This window comes from Homo sapiens, chromosome 20, assembly GCF_000001405.40.
Source record: "Homo sapiens chromosome 20, GRCh38.p14 Primary Assembly".
NCBI classification, from domain to species: Eukaryota; Metazoa; Chordata; class Mammalia; order Primates; family Hominidae; genus Homo; species Homo sapiens.
Window position 1 is genome coordinate 51498055 of NC_000020.11, and position 20341 is coordinate 51518395.

Consider the following 20341-nt stretch of genomic DNA (forward strand, 5'->3'; position numbering starts at 1 on the left):
ACTTCTGTTGGCCTCAAGCGAGCCCAATTCATGTTGGCCACAGACACGAGGGGCCGGGAAGCTTGGGCATGTCCTAGTGAACTGAACCGGTCCTTCTGAATGGTTGTCATTTCCTTCCTCTGCTTCCTTTAGCACAGGAAAGCCACCAAGGAGCCGCCTACGCCAGCACATCCATCACCCAGACTCCCAGGGCACTGTTCATCTGAGAGGCCAGACACAGCGGGGCTCACCAAAGCCTCAAAGCAGCAGCAACAACCTCTCAACCGCTGTTCTTGAGATAGATGAAGTACCTACTATGTGACAGGCACTGTGCTTGGGACTGGGGATGAAGCAACGATGAAGGAGATGAAAGATGAATGTGTGGCAGGGGGGTGGATGAGTAGGTGGGTGAAGGGGTTGGAAGGGAGGAGGAAAGGAAGAGAGAACATATATCAGGCTATGGAAAAAAAGAAACAAACAGAGGCCAGGCATGGTGGCTCACGCCTGTAATCCCAGCACTTTGGGAGGCCGAGGCAGGCAGATCACTTGAGGCCAGATCACTGGCCAACATGGCGAAACCCCATCCTTACTAAAAATACAAAAATTAGCCAGGCATGGTGGCATGCACCTGTAGTCCCAGCTGCTCAGGAGGCTGAGGCATGAGAATTGTTTGAACCCAGGGGGTGGAGCTTGCAGTGAGCCAAGATTGAGCCACTGCATTCCAGCCTAGGCAACAGAGTGAGACTTCATCTCAAAACAAACACCTAAGTAGAAAGACAGATGATGGCAGGAGAGAAAGGGGATCTATTTTGGTAGGAGAATCAGGGGAAGCTGCTTTGAGGAGGTGACAATTGAGCTGACAGCTGAATGAAGCAGAGAAAGTAGCCATGTGGATAGCTGGGAGGAGTGAAAGGCACGTGCAAAGGCCCTGAGGCAGGAGCCTACCTGGAGTGTTTGAGGAATAGCACAGAGGCCATTAGCAGGTGGGAATGGAGTGAGGGAGTGAGTGAGTGAGGAAGAGAGGCAGGCAGGGACCGGGTGACACGGCCTGGTCCACGGTGAGGAGCACAAGGCTACTCTGCATCTATACTCCGGGAGGGGAGACACAGGAGGGCTCAGAATGGGGGTGGTGTAGACCAAGGTACACTCTGAACAGATCCTCTGGCAGCTGTGTGGGGAGCAGATGAATGAAGGGTGCAAGTGGAGGCAGGGAAACCAGTTAGGAGGCTGTCACCCAGACAAGAGATGATGCTAGCTTGGCCCCAGGTGACAGAGGGGAGGAGGTAAGAAATGGTTGAGCACCCTACCCCGAGCCCAGCTCCCACACAGATGCACAGAACTGTGAGGAAGGCCAACAGGCCAACTGGATGCCCATAAAAGATCACAAGGCAAAGAGAAGCAGATGAGAAAGAGAAAGAGATTCAAAATCTAAAACGCGGCCGGGCACGGTGGCTCATGCCTATAATCCCAGCATTTTCGGAAGCCAAGGTGGGTGGATCACTTGAGGCCAGGAGTTCAAGATCAGCCTGACCAACATGATGAAACCCGTCTCTACCAAAAATACAAAAATTAGCCAGGCGTGGTGGCTAATACCAGCTGCTTTGGAGGCTGAGGCAGGAGAATCGCTTGAATCCGGAGGCAGATGTTGCAGTGAGCCGAGATCGCACCACTGCACTCCAGCCTGGATGACAGAGCAAGACTCCATCTTAAAAAAAAAAAAAGAAAGAAAGAAAGAAAGAAAAAGAAATCTAAAACACTTCTGCTTCCTACCTGTAAAAGCTTTACCTCAGGCAAGTCACATTTCTCTGGGGCTCAGTTTTTTCATTTGTAAGATAGTAGAACCCAATTCATGGGGTTACAATGGTTAATGCAAGTCTTCTCTTAATGTCTGGCCTATTGTACATGCTCAATAAGTAATACTTTTCTAACCTCTGCCTTTAATGATCTGAGTCGTGGCTCTGCCAATTTAGTTGCTGTATTATCTTTATATTAAAATTTCATATAATCTCTCTGAACCTCTATTTGGCCACCTGAAAACTGATCATGACAGTACCTACCCTCAAGTACTCAGTATGAGATTGAATGAGACAACTTTAGTTTAGCAAAAGGTCTGGCACGTAGGAATCCCTCAATAAAATGATAACCAGAGCCCTCAGTAAAATGGTAGCTGAAACCCTCAGTAAAATGATACATGAATCAGACACACCAGTCATCCAACTAGATGATTTCTAAGTCTCCTTCTAGCTCAATTATCCCCAAACTCTTTAAAAAAAATTTTTAATAGAAAAAATGACAGCTTAACAGCTTCAAGTCCCTGAATGAATCAACCCTGGAGTTGCAAGTTAAGGCAACCCAAGTTGAAGAGAAGTTGGAACTCCCACCTCAAAGTGAACAAAACTAAACATAGGCACTTCTACTTGGGTGATACCTATTACTCTGAGTCATAGAATTAAGTAAGTTTAGAGGTAGGAGGGAACTTACAGAGCCCTACCCACTCGTTTTAGGGCAGAGGCTCCTACAGCTCAGTGAGAAGTATGTGGGCTGAGGTTGCACAGCGAGGCTCAGGCAGAAGAGGAAGCCAAGAATGCTCCCACCCCTCCACCCTCACCCTCACCACCCCCCCCTCCACCCCCACCCTCACCACCACCCCACTCCCACCTCCACACTCACCACCCCGCACCTCTACCCTCGCCCTCACCCTCACCAACCCCCACCACCCCCACCCTCACCACCACCCCACCTCCACCTTCACACTCACCACCCCGCACCTCTACCCCCACACTCACCACCCTCACCCCCACCCCCACCCTCACCCTCCCAGGCAGTCTGGTCAGTCAGAGGGTGAGAAGGAGGAACCAACAAAAGCTCCATCCAAAAGAAAGGAAAAGAATGGAGTGGGAAGTGTTTTAGACTAGCAGAAACACCTTTCTTGCTATCAGAGTTCAACACAAACACCTTAAGGGGCCAGGCAAGTAATGAAAATGAGCTGGCAACCAGTGCAAAGACTGAGGAACCAAGTTCCCAACCTAAAGACACTCAAACACAGATGGTTTTTCTCTCTTAAACCATTATACCACCAGGGCCACTCACTGCTGGCTTGTCTGGCACTTTCATGCAGCTTCACAGCAGACAACACTTCCTCTATACCTTTGGCAGGTATGCGTCAGAACACTGTCTTAATAAACCTGCAAATGTGAATGGCACCCTCATGATACACACAGCTGTTGTGCCATGCACAGCCTGTGCAACTGTATCCAGTGACACACAGAAGATTTCCCTGGGTTATGAGTTGGGGACCTCTATCTACATTCCATGGTCTTATAAAAGGCACTGAAATGCCACAGGGAAGCTGACATGGAAACCAAAAACCTCATTCACCATCAACACTTAACTCCTGAATCAGACTCAGCTGGCTCCAACCTCTGTACTGATGCTCAAGGTGGACACCAAGCAAGCTTCTGCCTCAGGGCTTCAGCACTGGCTGCTCCCTTTCCTACCACGCTGGCTCCCAAGATAGCAACACAGCTTATTCCCTCACTGCACTCAAAATTCCATTCAAACGGCACCCCTTCAGGAAGTTCTTCCCTAAATAGCATCCTCACCACTTCCCAGTCACTTTCCATCCCCCATTCCTGCCTTATTTTTCTTCTTATAGCTTTTTTACAACCTGACAGATTGTGGAATTACTGATTTGTTATAGGTCTCCCTCCACCAGAAGCCCACCTCCACGAGAGCTCGGGATTTTATCTATTCTGTTCATTACTCTATCTCCATCTCCAGTCAGCAAACTTTTTCTGTAAAGGACAAGATAGGAAACATTTTAGGCTCTGCAGGCCACACATACAGTCTCTGTTGCAAGTACTCACCTCTGCTGCAGTGGTACAAAAGCAACCAGAGACAATATGCAAATACGTAGGTGTGGCTGTGTATCAATAAAACCTTATTTCAAAAAGCAGGTGATGCGCCGAATTTGGCTGGCATAGTTTGACGACTCTTTTTCTGGAATAATGTGTCTCAAACTCGAATGTGCACACAGATTAAGTTGCAGCAGGGCCTGAGATTCTGCATTCTTCATGAGCTCCCAGAGGATATCCAGGCCACCAATCCATGGACCAAACTGAGCAGGCAGCATCTAACACAATGCCTGGTATGTGGTAGAAGCCCAATGTTTGTTGAATAAATACAAGATAAGAGGAAAACCACTCATAATCCCACTCAACACTTTTATTGCTGCATTTTGACCATGGCACCATGCCCTTGCTAAACTATCTACTAATCAGGTTTTATCTTTACTGTTTGGGGTTTGTTTTGAGACAGGATCTCACTCTGTTGCCCAGGCTGGAGTGTGGTAGCATGATCACAGCTCACTGCAGCCTCCATCTCCAGGTTCAAGGAATCCTTCTACTGTAACCTCCCAACTAGCCAAGACTACAGGCATGTTCCACTGCGCCCAGCTAATTTTTTGTTTTTGTGTTTTTTTTGGTAGAGACAAGGGTCTGGTAATGTTGCCCAAGCTTGTCTCGAACTCCTGGCCTCAAGTGATCTTTGTGCCTCAGCCTCCCAAAGTACTAGGATTACAGGCATGAGCCACCATGCCTGGCCCTGCTGTATCATTTTCTGATGGATAGAGGAAGGAGAGACGGATAGATACATGACAAGGCAAGTGTGTCCTGAGGGTTTATTTTATGTCACTAAGCCAGGGTTCAAGCAAAGGCAAGGTTTAATCAATATTCACCTGATACAGGTTCCAAAAACTATTCCTAGGACAGCATTTACAGTTTTACAATAAATGTCAAATAGGAACATGGGATTCACTTAGTAGAAACCTCAGTTTCATGGGAAGAGCCTACTTGGTTAAATAAATGATGTCAAGAGGATCAATTCAGCTTCACTTCTTATTCAGAAAAATGAAAATGCAATGGCTTCCTAAGTTGAGCAGTAATAACTGTCTTGATCATTTATTAGGAAGGTAAAATGTGCTGAGCAGTATGCCAAATCCTTCATACATTATAATTCTGATAATGACGGCAACAAAGACCACGAATACAACCTCAAGCACAAACACAGACTATCTCTGGCGGGATGTCCAGAGAACCAATGGCACTGGGGCTTAGGAAGACGAGGTGGCCACCTAGGTATGAGGGAAGACCTTGCCCTGTACACAGCTTGTATTAATACCTTTCAAATTGTGCACCATGTGAATGCATTTCCCCAAAATCAATTTATGAAAGAAACTAGAGCAGTTTGCACTTGGCACTGTGCTAAGTGGTGTTTTACACACGTTCTCATTGACTCCTGTAAAAATCCTAAAAGACAAGTAACATTCTCTCCAATTTGCTTCTTCGGCAAATTGAAGCCCCAGAAGGTCAAATTATCCTTGCTCACAGTCATGCCACTAGTATGGTGAGAACAACTCAGGCTGGAGGGCAAGGGTCAGGTAGGTCCCATGACCATCTCAATGTACCACCATTTGCACTGGGAGCTCATCCTCCTGGAGGAGGCGGGCATCGGAGGGCCCAGGCTCAGGCCACTAGGCTCCCCAGGTTCTACTCTCAGATGCTTCTGGGCCCAGCTGCCCTGGGTCAGGCCACTCACAGGAGGACATGCTTGGGGGTGTCAACAGCAGCCCACAGCGAGGCTGCACCTGCCCCATGAGCCACTGTTGTTCTACCTCTGCCTGGGAGGGGCCTTCAGGCTGCTGTAGCCAAACACAGGGAGAGGAGGCTGGGGCAGGGTAGATACCAATGGATGACAAAAGCCTGAACAACCTGATGAAGAAACAATCTCACTTGATGCTTGACCAGCCTGGATTTATTTCCTGAATGTTTGAGACAGAGTCTTGCTCTGTCACCCAGGCTGGAGTGCAGTGGTGCAATCTTGGCTCACTGCAGCCTCTGCCTCTCGGGTCCAAGCAATTCTCCTGCCTCAGCCTGCTGAGTAGCTGGGATTACAAGCATGCACCACCACATCCAGCTAATTTTTGGGGTTTTTTTGTTTGCTTGTTTTGAGATGGAGTCTTGCTCCTGTTGCCCAGGCTGGAGTGCAATGGCGCAATATTGGCTCACTGCAACCTCCGCCTCCCGGGTTCAAGCGATTCTCCTGCCTCAGCCTCCTGAGTAGCTAGGATTACAGGCATGCACCACCACACCCAGCTAATTTTGTATTTTTAGTAGAGATGGGGTTTCTCCATGTTGGTCAGGCTGGTCTCGAACTCCTGACCTCAGGTGATCTGCCCGCCTCAGCCTCCCAAAGTGCTGGGATTACAGGAATTTTTGTATTTTCAGTAGAGCCGGGGTTTCATCATGTTGGCCAGGCCAGTCTTGAACTCCCGGCCTCAAGTGATCCACCAGCCTCGGCCTCCCAAAGTGCTGGGATCATAGGCATGACTCAAAGTACCTGGCCTGTTTCCTGAATTTTTCAAAATGCTAGAGCAACAATGAGAGCCCCCAGGAGCAACCTGGAAAATTATCTCAAGGTCGTTAAAGATTTCCATTTCTTCACCACTAAGGAACTTATTCATGCAACCAAACACCACCTGTTCCTCAAAAACCTATTGAAATAGACAAAAACAAACAAACAAAATGATTTCCATTTCTTCTTTGTGGCCTAAGCAGTTAAGAGCGTGGGCTTTTGAGCTGGACTACCTAGGTTTAGTTCGTGGTTCCCCCAATTCCTGTGTAACCTTAGACAAGTTGCACAGCCTCTCTGTGTCTCAAGTACTGCCTAGAAATATTAGGAGGATTACATCCATTTATGCATGGAATGCACTTAAACTTACTCAGTAAATGCTGTCACCTCCCCTGCAGTCTTCAAAATAACCTGATATAGACTCAAATATGTGAGAACAGCAGGAGCTGAGTTTTGTGAGCTCAAGTGTGCAGGCGCAGGGGAAAAAAAAGACTAAAAAGAAATACACCAGCAATAAGAGTAGTTCACTCCAGGTCATGAAGAGTGCTATCTAGTTCCTTTTTTTTTTTTTTTTTTTTTTTTTTTTTTTTGAGACGGAGTCTCGCTCTGTCACCCAGGCTGGAGTGCAGTGGTGCGGTCTCAGCTCACTGCAAGCTCCACCTCCCGGGTTCACACCATTATCCTGCCTCAGCCTCCCGAGTAGCTGGGACTACATGCGCCCGCCACCATGCCTGGCTAATTTTTTTGTATTTTTTTAGTAGAGACAGGGTTTCACTGTGTTAGCCAGGATGGTCTCACTCGATCTCTTGACCTTGTGATCTGCCCACCTCGGCCTCCCAAAGTGCTGGGATTACAGGCGTGAGCCACCACGTCTGGCCATTTCCTGTACTTTTAAAAAAATGAATACACATTAAAGAGCTAAAAATAAAGTAAAATAATTGAATAAAAATACAGGGGCACAGACACACAAATACATATCGGTGTACATACACATTGTATATATATGTGTAGGTGTGTGTATATATATATATATGAATATATATAATTTATATGTGTATTTGTATGTGTCTCTGTGTATACATATACACATGCATACGAATGAAATTTTTCGAACCTGTGCCAGTATTCAGAATAGGCCCCCGCTAAGCTGTGGACTTGAGAACCACACCGTGCAATGGAAATGGCTTGGCCAAAGTGCCCAACAGAATGCTTTTACGTTCAGCTCTCCCACATCCCAGATGCTTGGCCTTGAGGAAGTCCTTTGACCTCAAGAGTATCAGTTTCCCAGGCTGCAGGCTGGGTGTCGTTGTCGTGGCATCGTTTGAGGACAAGAGCTGCGCACAGAACACATAAGAAATGGTGAGAGGGAACGCCCTCCACACCGTCTGCCCCTAACTCACACCCATGCCAGCTCAGAGGTCGCGGCATGAAACTAAAGCCTCCACATGAGAACAAATGCTCCTTTTTAAAATCCTAACACGATGGTTCAGAGGACAAATTAATAAGAAAAACAATGAGCATATCTTGAGCTCTCATCGCAGGCAGGGCCCTGTTTTGGCACCTCACCAATTTAATACCCATTTAACCTTTGCAATGACCCTGGGAGGCAGGCATTCGTCTCAGCCTCCTGAAGAGCAATGCAACCTTGAAAAAGCCACTCAGCTTCTCCGAGCCTCAGTTTCCTCAGCTGTAAATGGGGTTAATGGCAGCGCCACTATCTCTCCAAGCAGGCACACAGGAAAAGCTCGGCCAGGGTCAGCCTGCTCATCACTGGCGATGAGGTGCTCGTTGGGGAAGGTGAGGCTCAATGCCTCTGAGCCTTGGTTTCCTCATTCACAGAGCAGAGGCTGCATGCCTGCCCAAGCCATTGAGCCATTCCACATCATGTGCTTGTCAGATAGTAAGTGCTCAGTAAACATGCATGACTATTGCTAGAGTCGGCCCATAGTCTTCTAGGAGGTTCAGAATGAATGACTTTGACATTCGCAATGTCTCCCAGGATCCAGAGGAAACAGAGCCCCGTGAGAAGCCATCACCTCCCCGTGTTCCTCCCCACCCACCCAGCCCCACCTCCCCACATGCTCCAGTTCATGACTTTATTGTCAACGGAGCTAGTGCCTTCCGAGGCCGTTAGGAGTCTCATTCATGGGACTAAATTAGAAAATGCTCAATGTTCAATAAAGAGGTCTTGGCCTCCACACCCACTAAACCCACAGGGTACCAGAAGGGCAGCAGGGCCAGCTGGTGACACGGACACTCCTATGAACATCAGCCTCGGCCTGCGGACGGGTTGCAGCGAGATGGCTCGGGGGCCTGCGAAGTGGTCCCAGGTGTGGTCATGGTCCCCTCTTGTGGCATGTTGCAGCTGACAGGTGCTTAGAAACCCACCTAAAGCAGATGTCTCCTTTCCCATATAATCAGAGAAAATCAGCTTCACCTAAGGTCCCTCAGTGGCGAGGGCGGAGGCAAGGGCAGAACCTGAATGCCTGACCCTAGGTCCAGGACTCAGGTCACATGGCCAGCCAGGCACTGCGCTGAGCTGCCGCAGAGGACCCTTTCTAAAGCCTGTCCCATCTCACTCTCACATCCAGCCCCGGCTGGAGCGCTCCACAGGCGTCTGGGCTCAGCCCATGTGCTCATTGTACCCCATGCCTGGGGCGTGATGCTGCTGCCAGCAGGTGGATGAATGAGTGAGTGGGTGAGTGAAAGATAAGAACCCAGAAGTTCAAAGCCAAGGCCAGGGCTTCATTGCTGACCAGCTGCCTGACTTTAGGTATGTGAGCTTCACTTCCCTGTGCCTCTCACCCCTCGTCGAACAGGAATAATAGCAGCCCCGACTCACCATGTGGTTGCAAGGATGAGCTAAGATCATGTCTGTAACAAACAGCGTGTAAATAAACAACTCTCAGAACTCTCAGAGCCCCCTCCGTATCATAGCCTGGTCTCAGACGTGGTTAATTCAACCAGAAAAAGCTGGAACAGGCTCAGGAATCTAAGGCTCGTAGAGCTCAAAAGTGATCTATGTCTAGATGGCCTTCTCTCTCAACGAAAGAACAACAGATGAAATGCCTTCTCTGTGCCAAAGATCACACTGGAACTTTTGTTTAGCATCCTAACTATGCTCAACAAACACAAAACAAATAGCCTGACAGACGTAAGTCTACATCACTTTATCATTGAAGAAACTACTGCCCAGTGAGTCTCCCAGAGTCCCAAAGCTACCAAACCCTAGAGCTGCCTCACTTCGAACCACCCGCTTCGTCTACTTCCAAGAGGCAGCATGGGCCAGTGGTCAACAACATGGGCTGTGGCTGCAGACGTCCTATGCCCCAATCAAGCAGCATCGCGCGCTGGCTGGGGGTGACCCCTGGCAAGCTGCTTACCCGAACTGTGTCCCAGTTTCCTTGCCTGTAAAATGAGCATAGTAATCCTACCACCTACACTCTATGGCATCGCTGCAAAGACTAACTAGGTCACTCTAAAGAAAGCACATGGTGAAGTGTAGCTCCAGCCATTATGCCACCCTGCCCAGCACACACGAGGGCCCCAACATTTATTTGTGACACAAATAAAGTTTCTTCTATATTGTTCCTCTTGGTTGCCAGAAATACTGCAAGTTTCAGACTTAATCTCCCTTTTGGCAACAGCTATTTCTCCAAGATTCTGGAAGCCTTCTGTTTTCTGCCTATGTCTGGGGACAACACTTTACTGAGGCTCATTCCTGACAATCTCCCTTCTACTGTGGGCTGAAAGCACCCCTCAGTGAACCTCCGTGTCTTCAGTTAGAAGATGAGTTAGCAGGCGGGCCGGTCTCACCACGCCACCTCTCTGCCTGCGCCAGCCCCGACCCTGGCGCACCCTCCCCCTCTCTCCACCTCTCACCTCGGAGGCCAGGGTGCAGGTCTCAATCGTTTCACAAGTCCATCCTCGACCACTGCGGGCATCCCTCAGCCGGGGACACGTGCGGCGGGGCAGAGAGCAGTGCCACAACTGGCCCACGGGTGTACCTGGTTTGGACTGTAGTCTTTTTCAAATTTTAATGAAATCACCAGTCTCATCAAAAGACTGGTATAGACAAGGAGGAGGTGGTGAGGATGGCTCCTCAAAAGTCGGCCTCAGAACCCCCACATCACACACCCCGCTCTGCTACTCCCCACCCCATCCCCGCCTCCATCTTGAAGTGAAAAGGCTACATCAAGTCACCTCTAAAAGATGCTTTCCCTCTAAAAATAGCAGGAGTCTCGGCAGGGATGAACAGGGTCCCTAGAGACTCTGGCCTTTCCCAAGGCTACAGCCCCAGACAGACAGATGCCACCCCTCTTGCAGCCAGTCTCAAAAAAATCCAGTTAGCCTGACTTTCAAAACATGCTCTGACTCTAACCCCTTCTCCTGCTCCCCCATGCCCCCACCCTGGTCCAGCCACCATCCCCTCTGGCCTGGGCCTCTGCAGCAGCTTCTCCCTGTCCACACCCCAGCAGAGGGATCCTGCTGACACCTACGTCAAGCCAGGCCCTCCCAGCTCCCGCCTCGCTCAGAGTCCAAGTCCTCTAACTAAACATGTGCGAGGCCCACGATCCGCCCCCCTATCCTTCCCCTTCCCCTGCCCTTCCCACACAGGCCTCCTCTCTGTTCAAGATGTCACCCAACTCAGCCCTGCTCTCTCCTCAGCCTGGAGAGGTCCCTGCAGCTTCCACGTGGGCACCTCCTTCTTTGCCCAAATGTGGCTTTCCCAGGGAGATCCATCAAACCACTCCCAATTCTCCTTGGCCTGATAGTTTTCCCCATAGGACTTATCACCTCCCAACATACTATTTCATTTTCCTATTTAACATACTATTTAAAATTTTCCTATTTATAAGCTATATTGCTATCTCCCCCTAGCCAGCACATCAGCTCCACAGGGCCAGGGATTTTTGCCTGTGGTTCACTGCCATATTCCCAGTGCCAAGCACACAGTAGGTGCTTGGTAAGTATTTTTAATAAATGAGCAAATGAACCCCAGTGATCTCAGAACATTCTCCTCCTCCAATTTTTTGGAAGCCTGAGTGACCCGGCCACCACCTCTTTCCCTTCCCCTCCCCAGGAGGTCCAATGGAACCTTCTGTAGATGCCAACACAGCAGCCCTGATCAAGACAAATTAGCATCAGCAAGAACTACTTCCTGTCTCACGTCCCCAAACACAAAATTTTATTAGACAAATAGAAGCTAACACACCCAGCCAACTGCTAAAGGAGCACTGCTTACTGTCACGAGTGCAGCTTTCACCTGGAAAGGAAAAAATCCCATCTGGCTTGCTTCTTCCCTTCCTTAGATATCATTTCAAGTAAGTTGCAGTTAGCATAAAAGCTGAAATCCAACAGAATGAGCATCCACGTCCCATAATCCATTTTATGAGGTTTTGAAAGACTGGAGACTTTACCAGCTCCTCCAGCCCAGGAGGCAGTAGCCTGGACAGGTGGGCCTCAGGCCCTCACTCACCTCCCTGCAAAGCTCATTACTGTTACCGGGAATGAAATGGCCATCGGGTTTCCGCATCTGCAAGGAATTCCTCGTAACAGAGCTACCCATGTTTTTTCCACATGTCTGAACATCTGCTTGAAAGAACCAAGAGGACTCTTTGGAGGTGAGTGCGACGCTTCCACGTTCTCATATTTTGATCACTCCCTAAAAGGATGGCGTTCTGATTATTCTTTCCATTAAACATGCATCCCAGAGAGTTGTAAGAATAACATTTTTTGAAAGCCCCAGCACAAGGATGGATAAGGAATATACCAAAGTATCCCCTCCAGGGAATTTCTGTGCAGAATATGGTTAAAGGGTTTGGAAGCCGCCAGGAAAGGATTAAATGACAATGGCGTTATACAGGCCACTCTCAACTGGGATATTATTAGACCTCATAAGCTGAAGAACTATGGAAACACTTAAAGCCCAACCTTGCAAAACCGCTCTGAATGGATGTTTTGTCCACCGGAGGACCACTGCATCCTGTCCTGAAACAGGGCGAGGAATGATGGCAGGGCTCCACCAAAAGCGTGTGGCTCTTTTGAGATGAATCAAGTGGTTCCCCTTTTCATCTGATACCTGCAGACCAAAGTCAGGCTTGTGCATTAAGATTCATTGGTTCCTCTGAAAGAACCCTAGACTTGTTCTACTTCAATAAGATTTAGAACTTTTTTATTTATTTGTTTGTTTTTTTAGAGACATGGTCTCACTCTGTCACCCAGGCTGGAGTGCAGTGGCACGATCACAGCGGACTGCCGCCCTGAACTCCTGAGCTCAAGCAATCCTCTTGCCTCAGCCTCCCAAGTAGCTGGGATTACAGGTGTGAGCCACCACACTCACCTGAGATTTAGGGTTTTATAAGAGAAACTACCTCGATCCGGCTGTTAACAGGGTTCGTTCTGTAACTAGACAATTCTTAGAAATCATATAAATATAACCTCTCTCTTATCTCCCTTCCTATTTGATAAACCTTGAAGTAGCACCATTCTTATTTATTCCAGATGATGTGAACTGAAGCATATTTGCCATGAGCCAAATTCAACCCAAAGTTTGATTTATGGCCAAAACTGAAAAATCAGAAATTTCACATAAAAATTCCAACTCCTAGCTCTTGGGAAAGAAGAAAAAACAAAACCTATAAAACCTGGCAACATTCCACCCACATTCCCACATGTCACAGCCTATAGGGACTGAACAGCAACTGCCTCCTGAGGCAAGACTCACATGCCGCTCTGCCCTACTCCCCACCACCCCCTGTTGCTCCCTGACATTTGGTCAGTTCAGTCATTTCCTTTCATTGCCTGGCCCTCCTGGGCTTGTCTGTTTGTGATCTTGTTTATACAGTCTCTTCTTTGCTTCTTCCTTAGTCCACTGCTTCTAGAGAGAGGCGCATTGTTACTGAGGGTGTGGACAGTCAGTCCTTGCAAGTGGGTGCTTGCTGGGGCCTCTGGTGATGCAGCGTGTGGCCCCGAGGCATCCCACAGGCCTGAGAGCAAGTTGAGGACTTTGCTTCTGAGCTCCAAGCTCATATATCCAACTGTTTACTTGACATCTTTGCTCGTGTGCCTTGGAAGCCCTTTGTACCTTCTATGCCCCAAAGAGAACTTGCAATCTTCCCCCAAGAAAACACTTTCTTTCCCAAGTCCTTCTCCGCCATCCATCCAACCGAACCATCCACTCAGTTGCTCCTTTACCTCCCATACCTAAGTCCTGAAGATCACATTATAGAGTCCATAGCTTCCGCTCCCACTGCCACCTTCTAGTCCTTACCACCTTGATCTTTCCCCTGGTACTGCCACAGGCTAACAATCTCATCTCCCTGCTTCTTCCGTAACTTCTTCTAATCTAGTCCCCAGGGAGAAACCTGAGTGATCTATAAAATGTTAAATCAGAATCAAGTTCCTCCTCTACTCAAAACGTATCATGTCTTCCCCTTGCCCTGGAATAAGCAAAATTTCATCTCCTCACCTTGGCTTTTAAGCCCTGCACAGTTTGGGCCTGCCAACCATCACCCTGCAAGCTAAACTTGAATGACACTGGCCCTCCTTCAGCTCTTCAGCCACACACAGTCCTTCCCTGCCTCAGGGCCTTTGCATGTGCTGTGCTCTGTGTGTAGAACACTCTCCCCCGACTAAGAGAGACAGAGAGCACGGAGGAGGAGGAGGACATCATTTGTCTCTTTGCTGGTTCTATGACCTGTTCCAGGTCCCAGCTGACAAGTCACCTCCTCAACGAGACACTCTTTCTAAAGTAGGTCTTCCAAGTACCATCTCTTGTCATGGTTTGTTCTGTAGAAGCAGTTCCTCCCAAGCGGTGAATCCAATGGACAAGCTTCTAATCAGCCATCACGTCCCACCGTGAGTCCAGGCATCAGCCCACAGATCCCCTCCAAGTGGCCGCCATCTGGCCTCTCAGGCCTCCCTGACCAACTCAAACCATCCTAGTCCACTTTCCCGCAGCCCCTGAGCTCCCTCAGGGCATGAGCTGTGCTGATCTCACCAACGTTGTATCACCTGCAACCAGCACAGTGCCTGGCACATGGCAGGTCCCCAGTGAGACATTCCCCATACAAATGAGTCATGAGATCTGACAAGCACTTAAGGTTTGGGAACAAACTTTCTCCCAAGACCAAGTACCATTCAAAAAAAGCAATGAAGAGAACAGCTGAGCATGGCATATGTTTAAGATTTTTAATTGTACACTTAAGGATAAAAAATGAAATGGTCTTATATTCATTTTCTTTTTATATAAAGAGGAGCTTAAAACCACTAGGCATGAAAAAAGAATGAAGTTCTATAGTGAGGCAAATAAAAGAGAGAAGGGTGGAGACTGAGTAACTGAGAGGGGAGAAGAGGCTGTGGTTCAGAAATAGAAACAGATACAGAGATAAAGAGTGAGACAGAAATCAACAGAGAAGCCGGCGGAAGCATTCAGGCAAGGTACAAAGCAGGCTACACTGCTCTTCTGGATATGAAAGGGGCAGTGCTGCAGATTCCAGAAGGAGTTTTCACACTCCCTTGAAGGGTAAGAGCAGCAATCCTCTTAAAGTCCACTCTTTTCTCAATTTTTCCAAGAAGTTTTTTTTTTTAAACTGACTTCCCATGCTAAAAATCAGTAATTAGCATGACTTATTTTGAAAAAACATAATCTATTCAAATGACTTTTTAAAAAGACTCCACTTTTTGTCTTTTAAAGAGACTTGTCTGCAAGTTTTTAAATCATATATTGGATCTTCAAAGTTACAGGCACTTGGGCCACTTGTGGTGGCTCACACTGTAATCCTAACACTTTGGGAGGATGAGGTGGTAGGATCACTTGAGCCCAGGAGTTCAAGACCAGCCTAAGCAACGCAGGGAGACCATGTCTCTACAAAAAAGGAAAAAATTAGCTGGGCATGGTGGTAACACGCCTATAGTCCCAACTACTCAGGAGGCTGAGGTGGGAGGATCACTTGAGCTCAGAAATTCAAGGCAGCAGTGAGCAGTGATCATGCCACTGCACTCCAGCCTGGGTGACAAAGCAAGATCCTATCTCTAAAATAAGCAAACAAATAAACAAACAAACAAAGTCACATGCATGAAGAGGCAAGAGTCCTTGGGAGCTATCAGAGGGAGAAGCACAAACTTCAGGGACAGCCTAGCAGGTGTCTCCTGGACTGTACACTCAGCCCATTCCCTTCTCTGGAAATTTCCAGGGCCCCAGCCCCTGATGAATGGGTGAGCTGAGCCTCACTCCTCATGCAGCCCAACCTCCAGGCCACAGCCTACTGGACCAATGGGCGGCACCCTCCCAAGACAGGGCCAATCAGCATCTCCCTGAGAATCAGGATTTAGCTCCCATGAGGTGATGACAAGGCTCATACTGGAACAGCATGCAAAACTAGGGGGAATGGAGTGGCCCGCAGGAGGCGTGGGCATTTCCCCTTCAGGCTTTTTCTGCACAAGTGAGAAGGCAGGAAGAGCTGGTCTGCAAAGAGACGTGGATGATCAGATCTACTGTGCTGCAAATAGAGCTTGCGGTATCCAAATCCCAGCTCCACCATTTAATAGCCATAACCTTGAACAAGTCCTTGACAGCTACTTGACCTGTTACCTGCATCATAAGGCTCTTTTGAGGATTAAATAAGTTAACACATATGCAGCACTTGGAACAGGATCTCACAGGCAGCAAATGTTTTCTAAATGTTTATTATTACTATCATCTTGCCAAAATGTAAGCTCATGATGGTGAGAATTTCCAGCTGTTTTGTTCATATCATAACCCAGAATCAAGCACCATGCCTGGTACATAGTAGGTGCTCAATAAACATCTTTTGAATAATCAGTGAATGAAGATGCCACAAAGCCAGAAATGGATACAGATTCTCTCTCCTTAAGACTTAAAATTGTTTGGCCAATGCATTTAATGAGCAGATTCATTCTCCAAGTATTTGTTGAGTGCCTGCTATGTTTGTGGCAGCAAACTGTGCTTGATGGTGATATACAATGAAGAATAAGAAGGAAGTTGTGGTCTCTTTTAAACAAAGCTCATGGTCTAAGAGAGAGAGACATTGACAAAATAATTATGCAAATGTTAGAATTACAAGTAGTGGCAGGTAGCATGAAGGAAAGGTGCATGGAGCTGTGGACACATAAAACAGAGCACTTGGCCAGGCACGGTGGCTCACGCCTATAATCCCAGCACTTTGGGAGGCCGAGGTGGGTGGATCACTTGAAATCAAGAGTTCAAGACCAGCCAGACCAATATAGTGAAACCCTGTCTCTACTAAAAATACAAAAATTAACCAGGCATGGTGGCGCACACCTGTAATCCCAGCTACTCAGGAGGCTGAGGCAGAGGAATCACCTGAACCCAGGAGGCAGAGGTTGCAGTGAGCCAAGATTACACCACTGCACTCCAGCCTGTGTGACAGAGTGATAGACTCTGTCAAAAAATACATATATATATTACATAAGGCAATTGCTCTCAGGATTGGACGGCAGGAATCAGAAGACTGCGGTCCCCAAGGGAGAGGAAGTGCACAGGTGAGCCCACCTTCATTTCAGCTCTCTGCCTGGGGACAGCTCCCCTGCCACGTGCAGGAAGTAGCATCTGAGCAGAGCACAGTGGTCCCGCTGTGCTGAGGATTCCTGAAATAATCCTGGATTCCTGGCACCGCTCAGAGTGCCAGGCTGTGGAAACTGCTGGAATCGGTGGCATCAGAGAGGAGGAAGCTGCTGGGGGAAACCCTCAACTCTTTGGCCAAGGGCTGGGCTGTGTAAGCACAGGGAGAGATGGTGCGAGGTTTACCAGAGAGGGGCTGCTATGGGGTGGAGAGAACAGAGAGACTAAGAGTGCAGCGGAGCTGGCATATGGGAATTCCAGCCCACCAGATTAAAGAGACCTCCCCACCAAGCATCCAAAATGGCCATGCCTTCAGAACAGGCACATGCCTCAGAGGAAGGGCTACTCCAGGCCTGCCCTAATGGGGCCTAAAACCAATCCTCAAATAAAATACAGAGAAGACAGTTTAAAATCTAAGCCCCATCAAGTTAGATACACCTTGTGCTTTCCACAGATCCACCTGATGAAGCACGAAAGAAAGTTCAGAATGTCTACCACATCCAGTATATATCATCACGATGTCAGAATGCAGTCGACAACTACTAGACAGGCAACACAACAGGAAAATGGGACTCATGGTCAAGAACCAAAACTCAATGAATAGAAACAGATTCCAAGATGGCTATGGTGTCTGATTTAAAAAAAAAAAAAAGCAATTGTCAGGACTTACAAGTTCTTAATATTATCATAGATGTCCTTAATCAGAGGTACACACCCAAAGCACCTGTGGAGATTTGGGGAGTTTGCTGTTTTTCATTTGTTTGTTTGTTTACCTGGGCTTTACTCATGTTATATAGTTTCTAATTTAGTTTCAGAATGCCCAACAATCTGAATTTTTAAGAACCACCCTAGAGGTTCTGATGCACACTATAGATTAAGAACCAAGTTTTATCATATTAATAGGATACTTCTACTTTAAGGCAAATACCAAAAAAAGTTATATTAATTTAAATGTATTAAAGGTTCTAGTTAATTGACTTGTTAGTGGGCACCAGTCAGTTGTTCCTGGTTAACCAGATTATACAATTAAGAATATTTCAACTCCAATTATTTTGGGGAAAAATAGGCACACTTCTCTACTTATTTTGAAAAAAAAATCTGAGGTTAAATCAAAAGCCACAGACACACAAAAAAGCTACTGATTAAGAAAAAAACAAAAGGAAATGCTCATGGCAAAATGTAAACTTAAAAAATCAGAGTACAATCTACATGTTCACTATAGAATTAAGAATAGAAATATATGGTAACAGAGGCTGGCGTGTTTGTGAATAGAAAAAAGAAAGGCAATATATAAAAATACTAATATAGCTATTTTAGGTAGTTTGATAATGTATAGTTTTAATTTTTCTTACTTTTCTATATTTTACAAAAATTACCATTTTTTCTTAATGAACTCTTCATCTGAAACTTAAGGTGATGGTTTCAGAAACCTTCTGTCAACACACAAACCTCTGCAAAACTCTAGCAGTTTCTCCATCAGAAAGAGAAGGGAAGAAGCATCCGGGCACATGAATATCATTTCTATCCTTATCCTGCTGAAGAAGACTTTCTCTTCTGGCTTATGAGTAGCTGGATTAGCTTCTAATGCTAATTTAATCTCATATTTCTCATTCCTCAAAGGAGTAAGAGGCTGAGACACATACCTCACCTTAACAAGCAACAAACAGTGGGTCAGCAGAAGTGAATCTCTTAGTGACAAACACCACACACAAAAGGAAGAGCATTCAAGTCCATACCTGAACCACAGGGTGGCCTCCAGTTGGAGCTTTGACAGCCCCTCGGCTGCCTTCTGTCTCATAGTGGGCCCGGTGATGTGGCTTGGGCTGCACCTCGATCCGCAGCTCGTAAGAGCCTGACTGACTGGACAGCGGCCACTCAAGTGGAGGGAGGGATGCAGTCACTGGGATGCTAAAGGAGAAAATAAAATCAGCCATGTGTGCAATAAACCAAAATTAGTCAACTTGTACAATAATTGTAAACGGCCCTTTCTGAAAATCATGGATACAGTCATGTATTGCTCAACAATGAGGATACGTTCCGGGAAATGCACCATTATGTGAACATCAGAGTGCACTTACACAAACCAAGATGGCACAGCCTACTACATACCTACACTATATGGTATAGTGGCTCCTAGGCTACAAACCTGTACAGCATGTGACTGTACTGAATACTGTAGGCAATGGTAACACAATGGGAATTATTTGAGTATCTAAACTTATCTAAACACAGAAAAGGTACACTAAAAATACAGTATTATGGCTGGGTGTGGTGGCTCATGACTTAATCTCAGCACTTTGGGAAGACAACATGGGTGGATCACTTAAGCCCAAGAATTTGAGGACAGCCTGGGCAACACGGAGAGACCCTGTCTCTACTAAAAATACAAAAAAAATCAGCCAAGCAATGTGGTGCATGCCTATAGTCCCAGCTACCTGGGACGCTGAGGTGGGAAGATCATCTGAGCCCAGGAGGTCAAGGTTGCAATGAGCTGTGATTGCACCACTGCACTCCAGACTGAGGGACCAGAGTGAGACCCTGTCTCAAAAAAAAAAAAGAAACAAAACAAAACCAAAAAACAACACAAGGCTGGGTGCAGTGGCTCATGCCTGTAATCCCAACACTATGGGAGGCTGAGGTGGGCAGATCACTGGAGGCCAGGAGTTCGAGACCAGCCTGGCCAACATGGCGAAACCCTGTCTCTACTAAAAATACAAAAATTAGCTGGGCTTGGTGGTGCATGCCTGTAATTCTAGCTACTCAGGAGGCTGAGGCATGAGAATCACTTGAACTTGGGAGGTGGAGGTTGCAGTCAGCTGAAATTGCGCCACTGCACTTTAGCCTGGGTAACAGAGAGACTGTCTCAAAAAAAAAAAAAAACATAAACAAAACAGTATTATAATCTTACGGGACCACCCCCACATATGGGGTCCATCACTAACCAAAATGTGATCATGGGGGGCATGATTGTATGTGAACAAAATGCTGAGGCAGCACATATTTCTTACACATGACAGGTAGAACTGTTCACAGGGTAGAGATCTTCCTCTTTGCTTTCTCTTCCACCTTGATAAAGACAGTGTGAGCAACTTCTCAATTAATGAAGCTTATGTTAGTTCTAGCATATTTCTAACTGCTGTCCCTTCTTTTCCCCTGGGAATTTTGAAAAGCATCACTATGGATTTATGTCACCATGTCCTGAGTTTTCACATATGGCAGAAATCATTCATCAGAGTATTTTTTCCCAGTTAGCTCAGGGCTGCTAGGAGCTGACACTATCAGCTGGGCTTGGTTAAGCACTTGCAATAAAGCCAATTCTATGTCTTCTCTATCACAGCAGTACCAAGG

At 47.0% G+C, this 20341-nt stretch overlaps 1 protein-coding gene across 12 annotated transcripts in view; it reads right to left on the bottom strand.

Moving 5' to 3' along the window:
- The window catches only part of NFATC2 (nuclear factor of activated T cells 2), a 175877-nt gene that overhangs the window by 111092 nt on the left and 44444 nt on the right, over nt 1–20341 (bottom strand). For all 12 annotated transcript variants that reach the window (NM_001258295.2, NM_001258294.2, NM_001258292.2 and 9 more), the window contains exon 3: nt 18730–18901. In NM_001258295.2, coding sequence (NP_001245224.1) covers nt 18730–18901 — 172 coding nt within the window. The remainder of the gene's footprint in view (nt 1–18729; nt 18902–20341) is intronic.